General features: G+C 42.6%; 1 long non-coding RNA gene across 1 annotated transcript in view, besides 1 other annotated feature; it reads right to left on the bottom strand.

Moving 5' to 3' along the window:
- Window positions 1–21,954, bottom strand: part of CFAP20DC-DT (CFAP20DC divergent transcript) — a 724,471-nt gene that overhangs the window by 372,815 nt on the left and 329,702 nt on the right. The gene's annotated exons all lie outside the window — the stretch shown is intronic.
- Window positions 13,593–13,712: a silencer, noted in NCBI's record as "silent region_14493". NCBI's record gives its function as "represses an Ori minimal core promoter by ATAC-STARR-seq in GM12878 lymphoblastoid cells {active_cell/tissue: GM12878}" and the evidence as "EXISTENCE:reporter gene assay evidence [ECO:0000049][PMID:35858748]".

The following is a 21,954-nucleotide window of genomic DNA, read 5'->3' as shown; positions in this document are numbered from 1 at the left end:
CTGGCATCATTATGATTCCATGTTTCCCTTCTGGCTCTGTGCCCTGGCAAGCAGGTTGGGCCCTCTAAATGCAGGTTCACTCTACCCGGTTAGAAGAAAAGAGGAAGACCTTTACCCATTTCAGGGGGTAACATGAGAATTACATTAAGGCCTTGGTGGTTTGCTTCATGGCCAAAACCTGGGGAAACACAGCAGGCGAGATTATAGAATTTGTGGAAATGATATGTGCATTATGTTTATAGTATGAGTTGTTATAGATCAAAGGTTAATACACTTTTTTTTGTAAAGGGCCCAGTAGTAAATATTTTTGGCTTTGGGGAACATACATTCTTTCTCACAACCTCCCAACTCTGCCATTGTAATGGGAAAGCTGCCATAGATAATACATCATTTAAGGTGTTTTCTTAAAACCTTATTTACAAAAGCAGGTGGCAGGCTGGATTTGGCCACATGCCATAGTTCGTAACCCCTGTTTTAGACCAGCATCTAGAAAATTCTGGTTTAGTTCTAGTGATAGAATTCCTATTCTGCCCCATCTTTCATTGTTTTTTGGTTGTTTTACTATCCTTACCATCCTAAAAAGCACACTTCTGTGTGTGTGTGTGTGTGTGTGTGTGTGTGTGTGTGTGTGTGTGTGTGTGTTTGCTTTTGTTTTTGTTTTGAGACGAAATCTCACTCCGTCACCCAGGCTGGAGTGCAGTGGCATGATCTTGGCTCACTGCAGCCTCCGTCTCCTGGGTTCAAGTGATTCTCCTGCCTCAGCCTCCCAAGTAGCTGGGACTACAGGTGCCCGCCACCAAGTCTGGCTAATTTTTTTGTATTTTTAGTAGAGACGGGGGCTTCACTACGCTGACCAGGCTGGTCTCAAACTCCTGATCTCAAGTGATCCTTCCACCTCCGCCTCCCAAAGTGCTGGGATTACAAGAGTGAGCCACTGTGCCCTGCCTAAAAGCACATTTCAATAAATGTTTGGCCAGGTGTGGCGGCTCACGCCTGTAATCCCAGCACTTTGGGAAGCTGAGGCGTGTGGATCACTTGAGACCAGGAGTTCACGACCAGCCTTGCCAACATTGTGAATCCCTGTCTCTACTAAAAATACAAAAATTAGCCAGGTATGGTGGCATATCACTGTAGTCCCAGCTACTCGGGAGGCTGAGGCAGGAGAATTGTTTTAACCCAAGAGACAGAGGTTGCAGTGAGCCAAGATCATGCCACTGCACTCCAGCCTTGGGCAACAGAGCAAGATACTGTCTAAAATAAAATAAAATAAAATAAAATAAAATAAAATAAAATAAAATAAAATAAAATAAAATAATGTTTATATATATGGGCATACATTGAAAATTTAAACTGAAATTCATGCAAATGCTTGGGGCACATTCTAAAACCCACAAAATAAGTTGATACTAAAGGATTAGGTTTTCTTTTTCTTAAATAATAATTTTTCTTCGGAGGATTTTGAAAGCTATAGAGCTGTGTGATTTTAGACAAGTTACTTAACTTCTCTGACTTTCAGTTACCTCATCAGTTAAATACAAGTTTCTTGTGGTAGCTGTTTTGTGAGCATTAAAAGAAGTAAGCATATAAAGTGCTTAGCCCAGTGCCTGATGCATAGTAAACACAGGACCATCACCATCTTTATTGCCTGTTGCCATATAGAGACAATCTAGGGATCAGGAGGGTTTATTACTTTTAATTAAACAAAATAAGTCAACATCCATAGAGAGAGCTCTGCCTGAGGAAACTGCCCAGGTTTACTCTGACTAGGAGAGTAGACCTGGGGAATTCTGTGTTCTGAAAAATAGTCTCAAGGTTAAAAGTGATTCAGTAAGCCCATCATATGACTTACCAGTTGGAGGCCAATGGGTCTACCAATTGGGTTAGGCTTAACTAACATACTATCTAAAAAGTTTTCATTGAATGCATTTGAGCCACAACCTCTCAGTAACCACAGCTCTCTCCTGCCTTGATAGAAAGCAGCTACATGCTATTTTTATTTCTGGCCCTGAAGGCTTTTGAGCATCTGACCTTTGGCCTAAACTTTTGATGCTGGGTTTTACTATTACAACCCCAGCTTCTGATGTCATGATCTCATTGCCATCAATATATCTGGAGGAAGAGTCTTTACCTTTTCAAAAACATATGTCTAGTTCCCAGAACAAATGTCATCAAAGGCTGCCAACGAATGACGTAATGAGACAGGTTAACTGCAAAATGAGATGTTTGCTTCCTTCCTTGCTGGCAGCTGCCAGACCTCATATATAAAAGCTGTTTGAGACTATTTACACACACACAGAGGAAATTCTCATTTAGAAACACTCCCTCATTTTGAGAATAACTGCTAACTTCCATTATTGAGGAACCAGGATTCTTTGAGGACGTACAGGAGCTTATGAGAGAAATCTAGTCGCAAAGGATGAGGCTGCTCTATGTTGTGGGGTAACCTGACTTGGGGAATAGCTCTGATGAGAGCAGAAGGTTTTCTCTTCCATGATCAAGGTTAGACAAAAAAGCAAATGGCAGAGGTCAGGCTGGCTGAAGTTATGGATACTCTAATGTCTTTCGCTCTACCTGATGTCTTTCGCTCTACCTAAAGTAAAACCACACTCCCCTGAGGACCTGGCTGGCCCTTCTCTGATGAGTTTTCCAGTCTCATCTTTTTTGGTTTTTGCTTTTTTTAAGACGGAGTTTCACTCTTGTTGCCCAGGCAGTGGCGCAGTCTCAGCTCACTGAAACCTCCACCTCCCAGGCTCAAGTGATTCTCTTGCTTCAGCTCCCAAGTAACTGGGATTACAGGTATGCATCACCACACCCGGCTAATTTTGTATTTTTAGTAGAGACAGGGTTTCATTACGTTGGCCAGGCTGGTCTCAAACTCCCGACCTCAGGTGATCCTCCTGCTTTGGCCTCCCAAAGTGCTGGGATTACAGGCGTGAGCCACCATGCCCAGTTTTTTGTTTTTTTTTAATAACAACAGCCTTATTGAGATACAATTCACATGTTATCCAATTTACCCATTTAAAGCATTCAATTCAATTGGTTTTAGTATGTACGCAGAGTTATGGAATCACCATCACAATTAATTTTAATACATTTCTGTCACCCTAAAAGAAACCCTGCACCTATCGGCATGCACTCCTCATTTCCTCAAATCTCACAGCCCTTGACTAATCTACTTTCTGTCTCTATAGACTTGCCTATTGCAGACATTTCATATAAATTGAATTATACATTAGTTTTTTGTGACTGGCTTCTTTCAGTTAGTGTCATGTTTTCAAGTTTCAGCCATGTTTTAATACATATCAATACTTCATAATATTCCATGGTATGGATACACCATGTTTTGTCTCTCCATACACAAGCTGATGGACATTTGGGTTGTTTCCCCCTGTTGGCAATTATTAACAATGCTGCTAGAAACGTTTGTGAACAAGTTTTTGTGTGGACATGTTTTCATTTCTCTGTAGTGTAAACCTAGAAGGGAAATTGCTGGGTCATATGGTAACTCTATGTTTAACTTTTTGAAGAACATTCAGGCTGTTTTTCCAAAGTGGCTGCACCATTTTATACTCCCATCAACAGTGTAGGAGGGTTACGATTTCTTCACGTTCTCACCTTCATTTTGCTTTTTGGTTATAACCATCCTATTTGGTGTGAAATGCCATGGCTTTGATTTCTATTTCCAATACCTAATGATATTGAGCATTTTTTAATGTTCTAATTGGCCATTTGTAAATCATCTTCCTTGGATAAACATCTAATCAGATCTTTTGCCCATATTTAAATTGAATTATTTATCTTGTTATCATTAAGTAGTAAAAGTTCTTTATATATTCTAGATACACATTCTTTACCAGATATATGATTTAAAAATGTCTCTTCCATTCTGTGGGCTGTCTTTTTAGTTTCTTGATATAATAATATCCTTTGAGCATAAATATTTTTAATTTTTATGAAGTCTGATTTATCTATACAGATGCATATTGGAAGTCTCAGAGGGGAACAGATAAAGGGGAAGAAAGAATGTTTGAAGAATAATGGCTGAAAAATTCTCCAGATTGATGAAAAACATGAATTTATTCATACAAGATACTCAAGGAACTCTAAGTAGGATAAAGTAGAAGAGATTCACACCACAAAGAAAGACAGGCAGAGAGTGATTAGCCACAGACACACAGAGAACATATGAAAATTGGGGCAGAGACTGGAGTGACAGGGCCACAAGCCAAGCAATGCCAAGAAATTCTGAGCAGCCACTGGAAGCTAGAAGTGGCCAGGAACAGATTCTCCCTCAGAGCCTCCAAGGAGCACACCCTGCTGACACCTTGATTTCAGACCTCTGGCCTCCAGAAGTGTATTCGTCCCTTCTCATGCTGCTATAAAGGACTGCCTGAGACTAGGTAATTTATAAAGGAAAGAGGTTCAATTGACTCACAGTTGTATATAGCTGGGGAGGGCTCAGGAAACTTACAATTGTGGCTGAAAGGGAAGCAAACATGTCCTTCTTCACATCATGGCAGGAAGGAGAAGTGCTGAGTAAAAGGGGGAAAAGCCCCTTATAAAACCCTCGGATCTCATGAGAACTCACTCACTATCATGAGAACAGCATGGAGGTAACTGCCCCCATGATTCAATTACCTCCTACCGGGTCCTTCCCATGACACATGGGGATTAGGGAACTGCAATTCAAGATGAGATTTGGGTGTGAACGCGGAGCCAAACCATATCAAGAAGCCAGTGAGAATAAACCTATGCTCCTTTAAGCCAAAGTTGTGGTAATTTGTTATTGTAACCCTAGGAAATATAACATTCTTAGCTTTAACACCCACACATTCTTTTTCAAATAAAGTTAGTTCATCTGCAGAGAACTCCTGAGCTCTTTCCTTATGACCTGCCTCTCCTCTTGGGCAAACTTTCTGAGTCCTTTGCCCAGAGCTGGGGGCAGAGACAGTGGTCCACTTCTTCCGGAGCAGCACGTCGGCTTTATGAGAAGGGCATTGGACTGGGGTGGTGGCGTCTGGTCTTTTGGGCATGAAACTTCTCTCCTGGCATGGAACTTCTCCCCATAAGCAAGCTGGGTGAAAGGTAATCAGGCCCCAGTATTCTCAGGCTGCCACACTTGAAGTAGCATCTCTGTGCTATGAGTGGGGGATGGGTGGAGGAAGGGAGCCGGGGCATCTTGGCAATATTTGCCTAGAAGGTAGTCCCTGCAATACAGAGCTGAGGGGGATCGGGGGGAAAGAAGGGGAGAGTAGGTACTGGCTTAAGTGCCACAGACTCTTATTGTTCTTACCAGGATTTAATAGATTTTTCTCAAATACCTCCTTATTTGCTGCGTATCCTTAGGACAATTTTCAGAGGATTTCAGTGGTTGGTTTTTGTTCTTTACAATAATCTTCACCAGTTATTACTATTTTGCCAGGGAGAGGGTCTATGGTGCTCCTCACACCACATTCTGGAAGTTAGCACCTGATCCCCACCCTTATCTCGGGCCTCTCGGCTCCTCCTCCTCCCGGCTCATGGCTAAGGATCATACTTTCTAGGCTTATCACTGCCTCGGGATCTTTGCGCTGGCTGTTCCCTCAGCCTGGAGACTTCTTTTCCCTTGAAGTAGACACTGTTGCATGCTTACTCACATGCTTTTTCCAGCCTGATCCTTACAGGCAAAGTTTCTTCTCATGACTCAGGGGAAATCCTGATTAGTCTAGAGCAGGAGTCTGCAAACTATGGCCCTAGGGACAAACCTGGCATATTACATTTTTAAATGCATTTTTTAAAATCCAAAAGAATAATATTTTGTGCATGAAAACGATATGAATTGCAAATTTTAGTGTCCATAAATAAAGCTTTATTGGAAGACAATTATGCCTATTTATTTACTTTTTGCCTCTGGCTGCTTTCACACTGCAACAGTAGAAATGAGTAGTGGTGCCACATGTATCTTTCTGTGTAAATACATTTTCAAAAATGAAACGTAAAATCTCATCATAGATCAGCATTAATATATGAACAGTTGCAATCTATTTTTAATGATAGGAAAATAACTTTGACCCCCCAGTTAGATAAAAAGTTAGGGCTGGACACAGTGGCTCTTGTCAGTAATCCCAGTACTTTGGGAGGCTGAGAGGGGCAGATCATCTAAAGTCAGGAGTTCAAGACAGGAGTTCAAGACCAGCCTTGCCAACATGGTGAGAGACCATCTCTACTAAAAATACAAAAATTAGCCAGGTGTGGTGGCATGCACCTGTAATCCCAGCTACTCAGGCGGCTGAGGCATAAGAATCACTTGAACCCAGGAGGCAGACGTTGCAGTGAGCCAAGATCATGCCACTGGACTCCAGCATGTGCGACGGAGTAAGACTTTGTCTCAAAAAAAAAAAAAAAAAAAAAAGATAAAATGTTAGAACACTTTTACCTCCAATTAGGCAAAATTTTATTTTCCTGATTAAAAAAATGCTATTCCCTCCAAAAGAAACTCATTCTTCTTCTTAATAGGCCCGCATTTAAAAAAATTATATTCAACTATTCTATTTTGAATTTCATCAATAAAAACTTTGTGGAAATCTATTTTCTCTCTTATTATTTAAGTACCTACATAATACCTTCAATCTTGCCTCTTGACCTGTGAAGTCTAAAATATTTCCTATTTAACAATCTACAGAAAAAGCTTGCCAATCATGGTGATTCTATTCTCTTGCTTGTGATTTTAAAGGTGGGTGTTTGGCCCGGTTCTGACCAGTGAGATGCGAGAGTCAATGTGCTGGACACTTCTGGAAATTCTCCCTTCTTCCTCTGGATGTTGTTTCAGATGGGATGTTGGCAACTATTGACAGCCATGAGGGAAGCCAGGCTGAGGCCCGGCTACAGGCTGCAGGGTGCCCTGCAGACGGGCAGGCAGAAAGATGGAAGAAACTGCGTCCTCGTGCTGTGGATGGGACCCGAGTTAGACAACCCTAGAACCTTCCTACCTTGGGACTTCTTGTAATGTGAAACAGTAAATGTTATTATCATTTAAATTATTTGAATCTAGAGTTTTCTGATGCTTATCGTCCAAAGCATTGAAATCACCTCACAACATCTCATGGCTCCTTCTCATCATAGAGGGCCATGTAAATGTCCCCTCCTCAGAGAAGCCTTCCCTGCTTCCACTAAGGAAATAGCCTGTGGCACCCCCCCACCCCCTTAGTTACTCTCATTAGCATGTATCACTATCTGTAATTCTTTTACTAGGCAGTTTCCCCTTGCTCAAGCATAAGCTTCCTGAGATCAGGGCGTTGTCTCATGCACCTGTTACCCCAGGGCTTAGAACACAGTCTGACAGCAAGTAACACCTCATAGACATTTATGGAATAACAAAATACTACTAATATTTAACTCGTATTTAATCACATTATTGTTTTATTATTAATATGAATATTTTATTAGAAAATTGAATTATTGGTAATTTATTAACAAAACATTAAAATTAATTATGAAGATTGCTAAAAGACATTAATATTTACTTCTAATAAATATGCATAGTGTTTATTATTCAAGCTAACATTTTTATATGTGTTCAGTTCATGCCATACTCAGTGCCTGAGCTTATTATACATCCCTCAATTAACCCTTATAATTAATTATTATTAGTAGTATTAGGTAGGTATTATTGTCATTACAGAAGATTATCAAAGTTCATTTTCTTTTAAGCAATCTATACTACCAGTACAATCTATGGCAATACAATAATAATGATAATAACAATATATATACTTAAAGACCAGCAAACTTAAATTGGACTCATTGTTTTGCACCCATGACCTTTCTAGTGGGAAACAGCACTGAACTGCAATATTTTTGTCCCAGTCCTCAGCCTCGCCTCCCTGCAGGAGGAACGTCTAGCCAGAAGACGAGGAGGGAGCATGCTCCCCAGGGGGACATTTCAGACCCAATTTTCCTCTGCAGATAATGATGGTTATAGCATCTGGCATCTGACTTGAGGCCTGCCCTTTCCTCCTGAAGGACACCCCGTGGTGACACACAGTAATTCTCCAACTCCTCTTGGGGTCCTAGACTTATGCAGAGAGGCTACAGCAAATCTCATGTTCTCTTTGATAACTTCTGTAAGAGCTGGCCAATTACCGTCTTCCCCAAGCGCGCTTCTGGGTTGCTGGTTGACTCCATTCCCACCCCCTTCCACCCCCAAGACTCCCCACCCTTTCAGCCAAAAATGTCATGTTCTGGTTTCCAGATGATCTCTGCTTTAAATTGAATAATTTTCTATAACACTATCTCCCTGTGCCAAATTCCTGCTGGTGTCTCAAAAAGGGCATATATGTAAGAAGTAATGAGCATTCCTTTAGGTCAATAGCCTCTGTCATTCTTTTCTAAATTTATTTTTTATTTTTATTATATATATACACGTACACCTATAATTGTTTTTTTAAGATAGAGCCTCGCTCAGTCATCCAGGCTAGAGGGCAGTGGTGTAATCTCAGCTCACTGCAACTTCTGCCTCACCGGTTCAAGCAATTCTCATGTCTCAGCCTCCTGAGTAGCTGGGATTACAGGCATGCACCATGTCTAGCTAATTTTTGTATTTTTAGTAGAAACGGGGTTTTGCCATGTTGGCCAGGCTGGTCTCAAACTCCTGACCTCAGGTGATCTGCCCGACTCAGCCTCCCAAAGTGTTGGGATTACAGGCATGAGCCACTGCCCCCGGCCCCTGCCTTCATCATTCTAACAACAGTTTTCAAAGCAACGATGTTTATCTTTTTATTTATAGTAAATTTGAAGGATGTATTTGGGATGATCTAACCTAAAATATATACTTTGTGGGCTCTGTAGCATCCCCAAAATTTACTGCAGGCATTCCTGGAACTCTTCAAAGAGATGAGGGGAGGGGACTTATACTTTGGTCCAAAGCTGTCCAATAGAATGCTCTGTGATAATGGAAGTGTTCCATATTTGTACTGAGCAATAGAGTACCCACTAGCCATTTGTACCTATGGGCCATGTAGTGGCTGGTATGACTGAGGAAGCAGAATTTTAATATAATTAAATTTTACAGCCACATATGGCTGGTGGCTACCACCATGGACAGCACAGATCTGAGGATGCCGATTGATGACAGAGTTGTTTCACGATCACAGCTGTGCTCCTGGGAGTGAAGCAGCAGTGAGGACACTTAATCATCTTCCTCTGCAACATCTAGAAACCAGCCAGTAGTTATTAATGATAAAATACATTATCATTGTATGTAATGATATATAACATGTGTAATGATAAAATAACAATACACTGTACATGAAGCTTTCATACCAGCTCACTTTAGTCTTCACAAAAGTCCTCTTAGGTCCTATCACAAATTTAGAGACCGAACAGTCATATTGCTCGACCGAAGACACAGAGATCTTTGGCTCAAGGTCCTGTGGCTCAATGTTCTGCTATGCACTGCTTGGTTGTTTTCTAATTTACAAAGATTCTATAAGCAAGATTGTTCCAGTTAAAGATCAGACAGCTGCCACCTAATCAGAAAGCAGGAAAAGTGTAGCTCAGCTTAGCTGCAAGGGCTCTGCTAGTGGGTAAGAGAAGAGAGGGTGAGAAGGGAGGGCAGATGAGATGTACAGAGCCTGGAGGACATGACGAGATGCAGACCACCACCACTGACTATGCTGGGCGCTGGCCACGGGGCTTTGGATTCATCCCATTGTGTGAAGGCAGTATTATTTTCCCGTTTTCCAAATGAGAAAAAGGAGTGCTCTGAGAGTTGACACTAAGCCTGCTAAGATTTGTTCAACTTATACAACGGACAAGATTCTAGCCCATGTGCTTCCAGCACTCCAGACAGCCCCTACCCAAGTGAATGGCCAAAGCCAGATCAAACCTAGAGCAGAAACAAAAAAGCAGGAGAGTTGAGGTCTTTGTCAGGATGACCAGAGAAAGGCTAGTGCTGTCTATAATGCTCCTAAAATTCTCTAACACACCCTCTTCTTGCAAGCTGAGGCCAGAGTTTCAGGACTCACATAAGTTAGTTTTTATTCATGTTCTGGGACAAGTGGTGCCAGGATGCTGGATGCATGGGAGAGAGACCAGCACAGCCTCCATGTGACTGATGGTTCAGAACTGCTCTACTGGAAACGATATCGCAGAGAAAGATGAGTCTGGTGTTTAAGATCTGGGATCATAGAGTCCCCAGACCAGAAGGATGACAATCTAGCCCGTGCACACCTCCTACCCCCAAGGGACTGTATCTAGACTAGAGGCCATTAACCTGTCCCCCCTGAGATTGCTGTCAGGGCCAAGGCTTTAGGAACAAAGAAGGGAAAGAAAAAAAGGTGGACAAAGAATACAGGGAAGACCCGATGAGGAAGGGAGAAATAGGTGGCAACTGCCCCCACAGGAGCTCCCGTGGGCCCAGGAGGCCCTGACAACACCCAACACTGGTACTCACAGTAGGAACTCACAGGTAGCATCCTACTGAGGCCTCCAGACCTTGTGCCCAACTCCTACAACACTCCCACCTCCACCTCTGGCTCTAGCTACACTGGCTAAGTTCTTTGTATCCCGTCAGCCTCAGCTTAAATTCTGCCTCTTCTAAGAAACCTTCCCTGATCCCCATTTCAATTTCTGTGCACTTGTTCTTTCCTCCCTTGGCTACTTCCTCCCTACCTACTTATCTGTCTTTTTCCTCCTGTAGGCTCCAGGAGGACAGGGGACCTGAACCAAGTGAGCCTCCTGTGTCTACCACATAGTAATGATGTTAATGATAACACCAACAAGAATTGACATTCCTTGAGTAATTACTATGTGTCACACATGGTTCTAAGCACTTTACATGTATTAGTTAATTTCACTTTTATAAGAAGCCCATGACTTAGGTGGTATTGTTATCTTCATTCTGCAGAGGAGAAATATGAAGCACAGAAAGGTAAGCAAACTTGCTTAAGGCACACAGCTAGTAGGTGGAAGAGCTACAATTTGAACCCAGGCAGTTTGATTTCAAACTCTTAACCATGAATCACTTTGCTAAATTTCTCAATATGCTACGAGTGCCCACATGTGTGTCAGCCTATTCATTTCCTTACTGGTTTTGTGGTTTTATTGTGTAAATCATCCATCGTACTTAAACCATGATAGAATGTCTCCGCGAGACCAGACAAAAATATTTGTAGCTCTGTCCACCAATACTCCAAATGTCATTGAAGAAATAGCAAGGAATGTAATGTGTTATTTGCACAGGCTGTGATATGTTAATTAATAAGCATTTCAAATATTTCATATGCGATGTGCACATTCCCCTTTAGTGAACCATAAATTTAGATATAGGATTGGAGAAATTTCTCGAATGCATTTGGGGACAATTTGTGGTCAGTAAAGGCAGGGTTCTGGGTGAGACACAAGCAGGAACTGTGAGAATGACTACAGGCAAAAGACGCCGTCTCCCTGCAATAAGGGCAATGTGGCAACCTGAGCTCCTTAAACTCTGGTGTTGTTTGGTTCGCTGAATGAAAGTAAGTAAACATTTTAGTCAATCCTGATTCTGAAATAGGCAGGAAACTCATCATACATGCCATCTCTGCAGCAAAGCCCACTCAAGCTGGCTTAAGTAAACAGAGGGTGATGTGAGAATACACTGAGAACCTCATGAAACCCAGCAGCAGAGGCTCTGTTGGGTTCCGGATTGCAGAACCTGGTTCATTCTAGGAACTACCTATCTGGAGTCCACGCAACTTTTTGTTGTTGTTTATGTTTGGCACATATATGTTCAGGGAAAATGAGTGTGTCTTGGATAGGCTGGGTACCAGCCCTGGTGAGTCGGGGCATGAGGGACAGGAGGCAAACAATATGTCCATGTCCTAATCCCTGGACCTGTGAATACATTAGGCTACATGGCACAGGGAATCAGCTTGGAGATGGAATTGAAGTTAATTGGTTGGCTTTATTATCCTGGATTATGCGTATGGGCCCGACGTAATCACAAGAGTCCTTAAAAATGGAAGAGAAAGGAGTGTCGGTCCAAGGGAGATGTGACTGCGGAAGAAAGGCATGCAGAGATCCAACATTGCTGTCTTCAAAGATGGAGAAAGGGGCTGTAAGCCCAGGAAAAGGCAGGCAGCTGCTAGAAGCCAGAAAAGGTAAGAAATGGCCTCCAGAAAGGAAGGTAGCCCTGCCAACACCTTGATTTTAGCACAGTGAGACTCACTCACATCAGACTCCAAGACTATAAGATAATAAATGTCTGCAGTTTTAAGCCACGAAGTCTCAGATAATGTGTTTCAGCAGCCATGGGAAACCAACACAGGGGATGGGGAGGCAAAGAGACATGGGGGTGGTCCCGTCTGGGGATGGTTTTAACCCTCATTGCTCACTCCTTCCTGTGTGAGTATGACTGGAGACACCCAGGTGCGTGCGTCTTTCAAGCAACCTTCTCGGCCACTTGAGGGCTTTTCTCACAACTTAACTGCAAAATACAAAGGTAAGAGTGCTGCATTTCATGACACAGGTTGAGCCCTCTAAATGACAGAGACAAAACCAAAACAACAAAGCCTCTGCTTCTGATTTAAGTAGCTGAAGTTCTTCAGGCCCAAAGTGCCCAGAAAAACAGCTTTTCTTCTTTTTCACCTTGCCTAATGGTCAGATGTTGAAAAACCCTAATGGTGATGGCTAATGTCAGAATCCCTTTTCTCTCTTCTGTCTTCATCCTGGGATCAGTGAGATTGGATGTGGGTAAGCAAAGGCTTACAGACATGGGAGGACGGAGCTCAGGGATGACCCTCACCAGCCCGGCCAAGTGCTTGGACAAAACGTCCAGATGATTTTCTTTAATCGGTGCAGTTTAAACATGAAAACAGACTGAATGGAGGAGAGAGTTTGCTGCTCTCTGACCTTGGCTGTGTGTTTTTCTTCATCTCCTGTCAAGTTCAGCACCAAGAACAAACAATCACCGATGAGCTGGAACATGAGAATGCAAAGGCTAGGCAGCAATGAGGTAACTCCGACGTGAGGCTGAATCGAATCCTAGAAAATGCAGCTTCTCTGTAACTGCCCAGGGGAAGATGGACTTGTGTCCAGAGAGTTTTAAAGTTATATGGAAGGACTGAGCTGTGGGAGCTGTGTATTCTCTGTGTGAGCTATGTGATCCTGGGCAGGTTATTTAACCCCAGGAGCCTGGTCCATCGTTCATGGCGGGTGGTAAAAGCTGCCCTACAGAATGGTGGTAAGGAGCTCTGGGAGGGCTTCTCTGCCACAAAGCCCACTCCAGCTGGCTCAAGTAAAGACAGAGTGGTGTGAGGATACACTGACAACCTCATAAAACCCAAGAGCAGAGGCTCTGATGAGTTCTGGATTGCAGAACCTGGTTCATTCTAGGAAATACCTACATGGAATCCACAAAGATTTTTGTTGTTTTGTTTTAAACTTAATCTCTTAATAGATTTTTTAAAACTGAGATATAATTTACATACAATAAAGTATCTAAATCATGAAATTCACAAGTTCAGTGAATTTTTATATATGAATACAAAACGTAACGACCACCCCACACCAAGATATTAATAGATATATAGATCAGGAGTCAGCAAACTCAGGCCTACAGGCTAAATCTGGTCTGCTACTGGTTTTGTGGTTTCATCAGAACACCACCACGCCTATTGTTTATGTCTTGTCTATGACTGTGTGAGTAGTTGCCCCAGAGACCTGGCAGTTTCCAAGCCTAAAATCATCAGCAGCTAGCCCTTTAAGAAACAGTAACCCTCTCCCTGATAGACAGCCTGCCCAGCACTGCCTTCTCTACCCAGCTGGTACCCTCCCAGATAACTCTTTTCACCTATGTTATTGTAGGTTAATTTTGCTTGTTTTCAAGCTTTGTATAAATGGAATGTTATAGTTCTTATTCCTTATTCTCTCCACGACGTGTCTGTGAGACGCAGCCACATTGCGTGGCACTCTCTCAAGTACCCCCTTCATGCAACTCAGTTACAGGCCAGGCATTTTCTCCTCTCTGTCCAGCATGCTGGCTTGCTCCCCTCATTCACTCTCAGGCACCTCCTGACACTGTCCCTTACAGCCTCGGGGATGCCCTTGGGCCCTCTCTCTACAGTAGCGGTTCTTGATTCTTTCTCTCTCTTAATCATCTATTGCTGAACCATGAATGCCCCTGGAAATCCCATCAGAACGAGGGACCCACTTCTCAGATAAATGCATAGGTAGTGAAATGCTTATCTAAAGATCAAGCTTTGTTGTTGATTTAACATTTTTTTCTCCCTGCGTTGGTGAGTGAAGCTTCAGAAATCCACCTTGAATTCACAAAGCTTTGACTCACGTAAAAAAAGAAAGCGGGGGAGAGAGAAAACCCTGTTACCACTTTGGGTTTTACTCAAAAGGGTATGTGAAGCACAGGTATTCCTGCGATGGGGACAAGGAGAAGGAAGATAGCATGCTTTGCATTTTGAGATCCTGTCCCCTGGAAGATAAAAGGACGGGACTCCAGGTCCACATTACACCAGACACCAGGACGAGCACCGACCCAGCCCCTGTGGTGCCCTGGAGCACTGAGATCTTGTGCCAGCTCTAAGACACTATTTCAGTTCTCCGTCCAGGAACCACACAGGCCTCATTCCATCAGGACAGCGATGACATCTGCTGTTGACTGAGGAGACCAGGCTTTGACCTAGACGCAGCATGGCACCAGGGAGCGTCAGTAGCGGTGGATTGATCGGTTTCCAGTTTTCTTGGCTTGAGTATGGGAACTGGAGGGAGCCCCTTAGCACCGCGGAACCTCAGAGTTCTTGGATTACTCATGGGTAAGGGGGTCCTGAAAGGGTGATAGTGAAACTTGTGCTAAGGAGTGGAGCAAGTAATCAGTGAATAAGCTGTGTGACCCGACTTGCACCTCAAATTTGTGAATCTGCTCATACCATTTATACATACAAACCCCAAATCTCACAAAGATTTGAAATGGGTTTGTGGACCCCAGGCTAAAAATCTCAGTTTAATAATCTATCCTTTCTGCTTCAGCTGTCACTGAAAATTAGCGGGGCCTTTTTGCACTTAGGTAAAATCCCCAAGAGAAAGTAATTGGCCAAGCTAATATTTTAATTAGGTCACCAAAATCCCAGCCTGGCTGGTCTGTGGGTCAGCTGTTAGTAGGTCAAGCTTGCAACCCTAGAAGCAGGCACGTGTGGGCCGGGCACGGTGGCTCACGCCTGTAATCCCAGCACTTTGGGAGGCCGAGACGGGCGGATCATGAGGTCAGGAGATCGAGACCATCCTGGTTAACGCGGTGAAACCCCGTCTCTACTAAAAATACAAAAAATTAGCCTGTCTTGGTGGCGGGACCTGTAGTCCCAGCTACTCGGGAGGCTGAGGCGAGAGAATGGTGTGAACCCAGGAGGTGGAGCTTGCAGTGAGCCGAGATTGCACCACTGCACTCCAGTCTGGGCAACAGAGCGAGACTCGGTCACAAAAAAAACAAAAAAAAAGAAGCAGGCACGTGTGACCTCAAAGGTGGTCCCTGGGCAGTGGGGCTGGGGCAGTTTCCTTTAGATGGAGGTGTGAGCAGGACAGGCACTGTGACTCTCCAAGGAGTTTTAGAGATGATTGAGGAAGCTACAGGCAACTCTCTGTATCAGTAGGCTTCTCATCCATGAATTCAACCAACCACAGACGGAAAATATTCAGAAAAATAATCCCACAAAACTCCAAAAGCAAAACTTGATTTTGCTGCACACCAGGTACTCCACTGAATCCATGAGAATGAAATAATATGTAGGGTTGTATTTGGGATTAGAAGTAGTCCAGAGATGATTTAAAGTATATGGAAGGATGTGCATAGGTTACATGCACCTACTACATCGTTTTATGTCAGGAACTTGAGCATCTGCTGATTCTGGTATCTGAGGAAGGTCCTGGAACCAATCCCCCACAGATACTGATAGATGACTGTACTTAGTAAATGCAATGATGAAACCAAGTTCATAGTCAATAAATGGGAGCTACTATGATAATGGTGAAGAAGAATTATGACTCATGACGTGAGTCAACCCCAAGAGAATCACTTCTGGGGGACTTTTCTCATGCTCTTTCTTTCGGTGATGCTGATTGCATTGGTGTCAAATATACACAGGTGGACAAGCTTATGGAGCATGGACATTCGATGAGGACACCCATTTAAAGAAATCAGAGGAGGGAAATGAAAAGTGCCCCCTCAAGTCATTAAAATACAGATACGTTTGAGGCTTCCTGAAAAATGAATCTAATACATACTTTAAGAAGGATTAAATAAAGATATTGCACAGCAAACTGAATAGGAGTATTGTCTGAATGATTATAAAAGTTGTTCTTTTCATCTCATAAATTTATGTAATTAAACTAATGTCACAGTTTGCTCTTGCATGGTGGCAACATGACAGAAGTGCAGAATTTTTACTCCACTCCTGGCTAATTAGGATGACGTGTGATTCTATTTCTTAATTTCAAATGTTCTTCTGAATTTTGTGCTCAACACCCCCCCTTTCCTCTTTAGAAACCTGATGTCTAAGTAGTTATAAATAAGACTCCCAATCCAGAACACTTTGAATGTGATTTGGCTCTATTTTCTTTTAATACCAAGTTAGTTTAGGTGTCAGTAGCAATTTGAAAAGAGTTAAAAAATGAAGATACGCCCTGAACTCTGGAGAAGGGGATGAGAATGTTCTGCTTCATTCAGGTTACCACCCTAACCCTAACCCTAACCCTAAGAGGGACATGCTCTGGTTCCAGGGTGAGAAAGAAAAAGTCCAGACATCTTTGAGCTTTATTTTTACCCTCTTGCTTTCGGGAATTTCTTGTAGAGAACATATAATTTTCTTCCAAAGGTGGCAAGATATTGTAGAAAAATTTCAGTGGTCATCTGCACTTTTGCCTACAACACATGTCACTTAAATTGAGTCCTGGTTTTCTCATCTGTGATGTGAAGGGCTTAAATCCATCCATCCATCCATCCATCCATCCATCCATCCATCCATCTATTCATTCATTCATTCATTCATTCATTCATTCATTCATTCATGTATACTACTAGCATTTTCAGAGTGCCTAGGGCATTTGTTCAGGCACCCATGAATGAAAGATAGTGTTTGACTTCAAAAAACTCACAAGCAGGGAAGAGAACACTGCACAGACCTTAAGAGCACAGATTGTGAAGTTAGATGACCTAAGTCTCAGCTTCTCCTTCTTAGAAGCTGTGGACCTTTGGATAAGTCTCTTTATGTCTCTAAGATGTCTTTATATTTAAAAGACATACTAATGTCAGTATAATAGGACAGCTATAAAGGTTAAACAAGATAATACCTGCAAAGTACATTGAACAGCAGAACAATCCCTATTAGAGCTGCTAAATTATTATTGTCAAATGTCTTTAAATTGCTCTATTATGGGTATATAGATAATACTTGGGGGACACTAAGAAGGAAGCCATTAGTTCTTCCTGGAATAGACTAAAGGAGAGCAGGCATCGTTTTAGAGGAGGTGATACTGGGTTGGATTTTGTAGGATGAGTTGGAATTTACAACATAGAAAGAGAGGTAGAATGCTGAAGGCCTATGTGAAAATGCACAGAGTTTATTTCTAAGAATGGCCAGTAGTGTTTTAAGCTACACCACTGGCACATGCAGGTAATGGCAGAGATAAATCTAGAAAGGACTCCCAGGGCTACATTATCAGTAACATATTAATCAGAAGGCTTTCAGTTGATAATAACAAGAAACGCAGCTTGAATTGGCCCAAACAATAAAAATGTTTTATTGTTTTGGACCCAGGTAAATTTACAACTTTTAAAAATATAAATACCCGCATGGTCAGGTTTAGCACTGGTTTGGTCCCATGACTCAATCATATCACCAAAAGCTGGTTTCTTTACATTTCTACTCTTTCCTCATTTGTATGTCTTCTTCATCCTAATACTGGATGGTCCTCATGCTCACAGGGTGGCTGCCAACTACCAAGGTTACATGCTTCCCAAACAACATCCAGGAAAGAAAGAATGCCTGACCCTGAGACCATCTAATGAGAGCCCTGGGCTTTATATTATAAGCCAATCGCTATGGCTAGAGAAAGACATGGACTAGTTGACTTAGGTCTGGGATATCCCAATGAATGACTACCACAACAGGAAGGGTTTTTTTTTTTTCTTTTTTTTTTTTTTTGGCTTAGACCAATCTGAGCTACCTTTGAAGCTGGAGGGCTTGTCTTTGTAAACCATGTGGCTGCTACACAAAGGGAGAGGAATGGGATGGATATAGGAAGGCCTATCATATGGTTCATCCCAGAAGACTTGTAGGCCATGACATAGTTTGGAGTTTACACCGTGGACAACAAGAAGTCACTTACAGGCAAAGATTCACATATTAGAAATAACTCTGGAGGCAGTTCTGGAACCAACTGGGGCAAGAAAACCAGTTCACACCTAGTTTATCTCTTAGGTCTTCTGTAGAGAAAACAACCCAACTCCACTGAGTAAACAGGTATTCTGGGCAAGCACTATATATTGTTTGCACCCAGAAACCTCGCTTCTCAGGTTGAATTTCAACTCAGAATGTTGAAATGCTCACAACTCCCAAGCTGCCAACAGTAATGGACCAATCACTGTTGTAAAATTCAAAGTGTTTTACATTACTTCTAAGTCTGTGCACTCAAGAGTTTCAGCCTGCAAACCACTTCCATGACACGTGAGAGTCAAATGGGAGAATCCATTAGAGGTGGCATACGGAGGGTGTAAGAGCCAAGGACTTGAACCACACAGACGCCCTGGAAGTGACATCACCTCGCTGAGTCTCTGACCACTCCTCTGTAAACCAAAGTAATAATACTAACCTCATAGGGCTGTTCATTTCACTTGCCAGTTTAACAGACATTTATTGAGCACCAACTATATACCAGATCCTGTACTGAAGCCCAGGAAGAAGGAACTGAGCAAACACGTGTCACATCCTTAGCAGAGTTTCTCCCAAATCTGAGAAGAAAAAAAGAACAGAGCCTGAAATACCAGGTGAATGGGAACCATGGGGATGAGGAAGACATCCTTTGAACACTTCTAATGGTAACACCAATGAAGACTCAAAGATTATCTGAGTCCTCTAAAGTCTGGCCATAAGGCATAATAGTCACAGACAGAGGCCACTGGCATGTACTTTCTCCCCTGGTAAACAGAAAAAGATTCAGGGTTCCTCACTGCCCCCCAACCCTGGGGTGACCCAGGAAATCTTCTTATTTGATACCCACCATCAAGTCACTTAAACAGTATTTCAAGACCCAAAAAATGAGCTTTCTCACTTTAAAAAGTGAAACAACTTTGACTTTTTCCATCTGTTCCGCTCAGGGCTGAAATGATGTATTCAGGGTAACATGTTTCAAGAGAACTTGGACAAACTCATATTTTAAAAATAGACGGATTTCCTACTGTGCCATGAGCACAGCAGTGCTTCCTTGGTTGTGTTTCAAATGATGGCCTCACCACCACCCCCAGAGCCCTGATAAGAGAGCCCTGGAAATAAACGAGCTCTGTGCAACACAGCATGCAGAGAGGCTTCCTCCCGGAGAAGAATGAGCCTCTGAGCAAGGCAGAGGGGGCCCACACACACATTTTCCCCTCAAAATACTACTGCAAGGCAGAAGATGGCTTAAATTGCTATGATTTGTGATCTGGAAATGAATATGTATTTTTATTGCATTATTCATTATACAGAGTACAACAAGTCTTGCTTAAAGCTATCTCTGTATCACTTGATATGAATGTTATATTGCATTTTGTGATGCACAACTTCTTGAAGAAATATTTTACAGAGATTAATAATGAGAAGTTTGAATGTATGCTCCTGGAGCTCATTGATGGAACTACTCTGTTTCCATCTTTCTCCCTGGAGCCAGTTTGACTCCAGGCTGACATGTTGGTGACAGTGCTTCACAAAAGGCTTTTGTGCTCTACTTTATGCAAGCTCTGGTTAAAGTATGGAGCCTAAAACTGAGTGAGAGAACCTTCAGAAAGCAGCAAGAAGCTAAAGGCAGCACTTTTGTGCCAAGGTAATAAAGGAAAAAATGTGTATACCAAATAGCATTATCTTTAGAATAAAATGATTAGATGAATTGGATGTTCCCCAAGCTTGTGCAAATGAGGACATGCAGAAAATAAATTTCCCAACAAAAATTTGAAGCGATATTGAGGATTTTTCAGTGATGGCATGTGTCCTGCCTCAACTTCCTCCTCATGGTGAAAGTACCCAGTCCACAGCTTCAGCTCAGGTAAGCAGCACCAGTCCCTGGGGCCACTGGCTGGAGCAGAGGTGACCACTGACCCAAGGCTGGCCCATTTACAGGTTGGCCAGAGACCACCCAGGTGGCCCTTTAGTCAAGGGGCTGCTTCCATCTTGGATAGGAACTAGAAAATTCACAGAAGCCCGGAAAATGGATGGTGGGTGGTGGGGGAAGAAGCTGTGTCCCCTTAGAAGCAGAATAGCAGAAAGAATATCCACACCCCCATTGCCCAGGTCCCTAGAGCTCCCTTGGGTCCTGAATGGACAATGGACAGCTGTTTCCACTCTTATAAGATCCTTACTTCCCAGAGTTCCTATTGTCTGCATTTCCCTGGGTTTCCCATGTCTATCTTCACAGTTAACATGAATTCTCACCCCAACCACATCACCCAATTATTTGAGTTCACTTGAAGGATGTGTTTTGTAGTTGACATCTGTTGCTTTTCCTGAATAGCATCCATTTCCCTTTGTTCAAGTCACAACACTTCTTCACTCTCAGCTCTCTGGTTGGGGTGGGGCACACTGCACCCTAGCTCCAAAGGTGGGCATGTGATGGAGATCTGGCCAATCAGAGTCCCACATACCACTGGCCACACTGATTGCTTCCGGAATGGACACATGACCCAAGTTTGAGGCTGTGGTTAAAACTATTAGGAAATGAACTTCTCTTCCACTAGCATAATATAAGTCTAGGGTGGCTGGGGTTCCAGTAAGTGAAGGGAGCTTACCTAAAAGCTAAACCAACACCATTGAAATACAGAGAGATGGATTCAGGTTCACATCATTTGGGATCCCGGCTCCAGCCATATCTGAAGCTTGTTGAGCTCTGGACTTAAACAAGTTTTTTAAATTAATGTTTTATTTTATAATGGCTCTAGATTTACAGATAAGTGTGAGGGTAGTGTAGAGGGTTGTCATAGACTCCATACCTGGTTTCTCCTATTGTTAACATTTTATAGCATTGTACATTACCACTAGTAAGGCAATATTGTTATGTTATTAACTGAAGTCTATACTTTACCCAGATTTCCTTAGTTTTCATCTAATGTCTTTCTTCTTTTCCAGGATCCCATCCAGGGGACCTCATTACATTTAGTCATCATGTCACCTTAGGCTCCTCTAGATGGTAACAGTTTCTCAGACTCACCTTGTTTTGGGTGACCTTGACAGTCTTGAGGAATACTGATCAGTTTTATTGAGTATTCTTCAGTGGAGGTTTCTCATGTTTTTCTCATGATTAGCCTGGGATATGGGTTTGGGGGGAGTTAGACCACATGGCAAAATGCCATTGTTATCACACCATATCATGCTAATTTTGATCACTTGGCTGAGGTATTATTTATAGGTGGCTCCTCTGTTAAATCACTCTTTTTCCCCTTTTCCCTATTGTTCTCTTTGGAAAGAAGTCATTTTGTGCACCCCAAACTTAGGGAGTTACGCTCCTCCCTTTTGAGGACAGAAGGTCTATACAAATTATTTGAAATTCTTCTACACAAGAGATTTGTCTATTCTTGGCTGGGTGCAGTGGCTCATGCCTGTAATCCCGATACTTTGAAGGCTGAGGCGGGAGGATTTCTTGAGTCCAGGAGTTTGAGACCTGGCTAGGTAACATAGAGAAACCTTGTTTCTACAAAAAACAATTTTTTAATTAGCTGGGCATGGTGGAACATGCCTGTAGTCCCTGCTA

Source organism: Homo sapiens, chromosome 3, assembly GCF_000001405.40.
Source record: "Homo sapiens chromosome 3, GRCh38.p14 Primary Assembly".
Classification (NCBI taxonomy): domain Eukaryota; kingdom Metazoa; phylum Chordata; class Mammalia; order Primates; family Hominidae; genus Homo; species Homo sapiens.
Note: the sequence above shows the minus strand (reverse complement) of the source record. Positions and strands in the feature narration are given on the sequence as shown.